The following is a 5,574-nucleotide window of genomic DNA, read 5'->3' as shown; positions in this document are numbered from 1 at the left end:
GGGATTACAGGCACCTGCCACCACACCAGGCTAATTTTTGTAATTTTAGTAGACACAGGATTTCATCATGTTGGCCAGGCTGGTCTCCAACTCCTGACCTCAGGTGATCCACCTACCTCAGCCTCCCAAAGTGCTAGGATTACAGGCGTGAGCCACTGCGCATGGCCTGATGCTTATTTTCAGGTAATGTCTTAGTAATTCTTTAAAATGAAATTGTGAAACCTGGTGTATGGTGGGAATTGGACCTGCTTCAACCTGATCACTTCTTTTTATTTTCTGGTTTATAAAGAGCTACTGAATGGGTGATACATAGTGAATAACACTCTATAACTCCACTTTGACCCTGGAGTTGAATGATCTTCATTGTCTTTTATTGATAAAACCTAAGGCCTAAGCTAAACCTCCCTTTTATTCACATTTCCTATATATTTGCTCCACATAGAACTCATTTTCTTCCTCTCTCTCTCCCTCCTCTCTCAAACACCCACTCCCATGTATTTCTATTTGAATACAAATATATAACAAATGTGATTATGCTTTTATTCTAGATTTCAATGTACTATAAAATCAGTAATAAAACATTACACAACTCTTTAAATTACTGATATATTTACATCATTGTAATTTTACTTCATTTGGATAACCTTGAAAATGTCCACTTACGGTCATCTTCTGTCTTTCTCTTCACTGTTTAGATAATTCAATAATTTGTGCACTTGCCTTTATTTTGCTATTTACTTTTTCTCGGTACTGCTTTTCTGCATATGTTACTGGAAAGTTTACATTCTAGTTCTACTTTCTACTACATTTCTCTGGCTTTAATGAGATTAAATTTACCAATGTACATATATCATGCAATTATTTTCTTAATGCTTTATGGGCATGATTTTTCTTATGATTCTTAGTGAGCACATTCCTTAAACTATGACATATAACATATAAAATACATTCAATTAAACAGCTTGGTAAACAGTAGGATATACCAGACCATGGAATGACAGGCAAGGCTGGACATTTAGGACAACTGATAGTTGTAGAACAATTGATAGGTAGAGTCTGGGAAAAGGGTGCTTAAAAGAGGTTCATGGCTGGGCACGGTGGCTCACCCCTGTAATCCCAGCACTTTCGGGGGCCGAGGCAGGCGGATCACGAGGTCAGGAGATTGAGACCATCCTGGCTAACACGGTGAAACCCCGTCTCTACTAAAAATACAAAAAATTAGCCGGGCGTGGTGGTGGGCACCTGTAGTCCCAGCTGCTCAGGAGGCTGAGGCAGGAGAATGGCGTGAACCCAGGAGGCGGAGCTTGCAGTGAGCCGAGATCGCGCCACTGCAGTCGGCCTGGGCGACACAGCAAGACTCGGTCTCAAAAAAAAAAAAAAAAAAAGGTTCATATTCAACCATTTTTGGATGGAAAAACAAATTTATGAAGTTTGGAAAACAGATGTAAGTTCAGCAGATCAATCCAAAATCCAAAAGAAAAGAATAAATGGAATGGAACTGAAATGGCTAAAGATTTTCTAAAATTAGGGCCTTCCCTTTCTCCGTGTAGAATTGTTGCAGAGCAACAGCTGCCCTGCCAAAGACCATACTCCCCACCTTCCTTGCACCTAGATATGGCCATGTGACTAGTTCTCTGCAGTGAATATGACCGTAAGTGATAAGTGTCACTTCCATGCCAAGAAACTTTAGAAGTAGGTGGGCTTTTTTGTTGTTGTTGTAGCTAGAGATGGTGTCTCACTATGTTACCCAGGTTGGTCTTGAACTGCTGGGCTCATGTGATCCTCCTACTTTGGCCTCCCAAAGGGCTGGAATTATAGACATAAGCCACTGTGCCTGACCATGGTGAATTTTAAGAGGTTTGGTACCACAGTTAGATGGTTTAGGAGGGGAAATCAGATCATCTCAATATATAATTACATTTTTACTGGGAAAGCAATATGTAAAAGACTTTATTAGTTAGAAATTATCAAAGCCCATTTAGTGGCTGAGAATATGACCAGGAGTGATAAGTGTCACTCACATGCCAAGAAGCTTTAGAAGCAGGTGGGCTTTTTCCACTGTCTGCTTTGTCTTGGAAGGCATGTGTTGAAGCAGTAGATTCACAGAATAAAAGGAGCCTGGTCCCCTAATCTCTGTTTGGAGAAGTGCTACACACTGATTAGGAACACCTACCTTGGAACTTAAATGAATGACAAATAAAATTCTGCCATGATTTGATTGTTACCTGTTTTGTTTTGTTATAGTAGCTAACATTGCTAAATAGTATAGTGAATATGGGAAGGTGAATGGCAGAAATCTAGATAACAGCCACTTTGTTCAGTTCCAAGTGGCCAGAGGAGGTATCAGGAATGTCCAGAGAGAAGATGTCAGGACAAGTAGTGGTCAAAGGCTAGTCACCAAGAATCTGGAAAAACAGGAAAAGAACATGGACAGATTGAAAGTGTAATTTATCCATATCAGAAAGGTAAAACAACTATTGTCTCCTAATGCTGAAACAGAAAATTTCTAAAGTTAAAAAAAAAATCTGTACTAGGGAGAGGCTTAGTCCTAGAGATTGGTGTGGAATTAATATACAGATGAGTTTTTTTGTGGTCATTCTTTTTTTTTGAAACAGGCTCATGTGGCCTCAAACTCCTGGGCACAAGAAGTGATCCTCCAGCCTCAGCCTCTGGAGAAGCTAGGAATATGGGCACATGCCACCACACCTGGCTAATTTTTGTTTTTTTGGTGGGAGTAAAGATGGGGGTCTCACTATGTTGCCCAGGCTGGTCTTGAACTCCTGGGCTCAAGCAATCCTCCCACCCTGGCCTCCGAAAGTGCTGGGATCACAAATATAAGTCACTACATCCAGCCCTGGTGTGATTTAAGAGGTTTAATTACCATAGTTAGATGGTTTAGGAAGAGAAAATTAAAGAGATCATCTCAATATATAGGTAAATTTTTACTGAGAAAGCAATGTGTAAAAGATTTGGTTAATTATAAATATCAAAGCCCATTTAGTTGCTGAGATATTGTGCAAAGACCTTAAATGTGATCATGGCAAAGACGGAAAACAAATTTCCTTTGGGCCTTTGGTATAAGTTACAATTTAGAACATTGTGTGAGGGCCACAGTACACTTGGTGAGTATGCCTCCGTGGATTATATGCCTTAGTTGGCCCAAGGAATTGAATCATATTGTTAGTGATAAAAAATCAATTTTCTCATAATTAATCAGATTTTATGAGTTCTCTGATGTCTTAATGATCAAATTAAGTTTAACTTCACAAGAGTCATTGGATCTCATATTAGAATTACACTTGCTTAGTCTTCTCTGGAGAATCCCAAAAAGCCTTAATCTCACCACTGACCTTGCTGTAGAGAAATAATTATTACTGGGAGCGTAACTTCGACTTTTAGAACATCCGACTGCAGTCTGGGTTGGAAATAAGTGTTATATTGTTTGAAATTTACATTTGTGTTAGACATGACTTTGTTCCTTGGTTATAAAAGGCAATTACATAAGTAGAAAGTGATATTGAAGGTAAGTTTAAAGAGACATGACAGAAGTTCAACAAAGTCATACATTCTGAGACAAGGGTACTTATTATCTCTTTAAATGCAGAGACATTGTCTCCTACTGTACTTCCTGTGTATAGAAATTAACATCTAATATTCTAATGAGAAGATCACAAATAAGGAGATAATTATACAGGAAGGAAAAGGGAGTGACTAGGTCTATATTATGTTACAGAAATGAATCTGAATAGATAATACTTGCCTGATGACTAATATGTGATAAGTTCAACTTTCAACTAAAATGTAGATAATATATTTATGCCAGTTGCCATTAGCAGTGACTTGAGGTTATTTATATTATCTGAACTGAAAGATTTCATTCCCTAGGATTCCCAGATAATTGAGACAAAGGACATTTTTTAACCTGGAAGATTAAATAGCAATACAAAGAGCACTACAAGAGATATGGTAAGGCCATGTGTATTTAATATTCAAAGACAGTAAATACTGTGAGTTCAGAGGAGGCTACTGTGGTCTGGGAATGTTTCATAAATAAGAAAAACTTATAATACAAGTTATAGTTCAGGGATGGGCTTATACCCTCTTATACACAAGAGGCTTTGGGTAGGCAGACAAAAAGGGAATCTAATGTTCCACAGAAGAAAATAAAATGTGAGAACAAAAGTAGGGTATTTTGAAAAGTGTTTGGGTGGCAGTGAGCAAAGACTAATTATAAAGTTTTAGTGGGAGATGAGGTTGGGAATATAAATGGGAGACAGATTGCAAAGGATCTTAATTATCAGCTTAGGAAATTTATACTTTATTCTAAGGGCAATTTGAGATGTTGAAGATTTTTGAAGCAGAGAATGATCTTTGAGGAAGGCATATAGTAGAGGTATGCAAATGAATTGCCCGTGGAAGAGGCTGGAAGGAGGTGGACTTTGAAGTAACTGTAAGATGATACAATCCCATGAGTGAGGAAATCACTAGAGGAGATTAGAAAAAAGGCTAAGCAGGAGAGACAGCTCATCTGGGACAATATCAGAAGGCTTGGATCACAACATGTAAAGCCTTAAATGGAACTGAGCTTGTAGGCTATGACAAAGATTCTCTGTGTCACCAAAATTTAGGCTTCTGAACTTTCTCCTAGGCCCATTTCTGCACTTCCTTGTAAAACCCAGTTTTAGCAAAGAACACTGTTAAGTCAGTTTACCAAGAACTCCCCGGCCTTTATATCTGATCACCCTTGATACCTGACCAGGTTCGTCATCCCCTGCTGTCCCCTAGGTGATGATTGATCACCCTGGCCTGTCTTTAGCAAGAATCCTGCTAGATCAGTTTAGCCAGAATCCCCCTTGCCCTGATGTTTCCTTGGAGCAATGTTAAATCTTCTGCTCCCCCAGCACCCACATTCCTTGGCTGTAAATTCTTACTTGCCCATGCCGTATCCAGAGTTGAGCCCAATGTCTGCCTACCCTCCCCCACCCACGCCCCAGCAAAATCCCATTTTCAGTGGTTCCTACACCTATGGTGATGGTCCTGAAAAATCTCTCCCCAATCATGCTTGGACAAGTATCATTGCATAATTCTTTTTAACAGCTACCAAAATATTTTAGCGACAGGGAAGGAAAAGATCAGAGCTACTCTGTGAGCAAATTAATCCAGTGATTGCCAAGAGTAGGATGAGTGGAATTAGTGATAGCTGAGAGGTAAAGGAACCAGTTGACAGGGTATTTCATTAGTCAAAGTTTAAGGTCATAGGGAGGAACTTGAATAGTTTTAGTAGGAATAGAAAAAACAGAATACATTTGAGAGAAAACATGGTAAGTTGGTTGGATATGTGATAAAGGAAAAGAGTTAAGGGCATTCGGTGAATGTATCAGGGTGGGATTCTCTACTAAATTATGTTAGAATTAGTTGGACATTAAACAAATGAATAGCCTACTGCTATTGTTTGAATGTTTCCTTCCAAAATTCATGTTAAAACTTAATCCCCATTGCGGTGGTAGTAAGAGGTGGGGCCTTTTGGAAAGTGATAAAGTCACAAGGGCTGTGACCTAGTTATGGGATTAATGC

Source organism: Homo sapiens, chromosome 18, assembly GCF_000001405.40.
Source record: "Homo sapiens chromosome 18, GRCh38.p14 Primary Assembly".
Classification (NCBI taxonomy): domain Eukaryota; kingdom Metazoa; phylum Chordata; class Mammalia; order Primates; family Hominidae; genus Homo; species Homo sapiens.
This window is presented reverse-complemented; position numbering follows the sequence as displayed.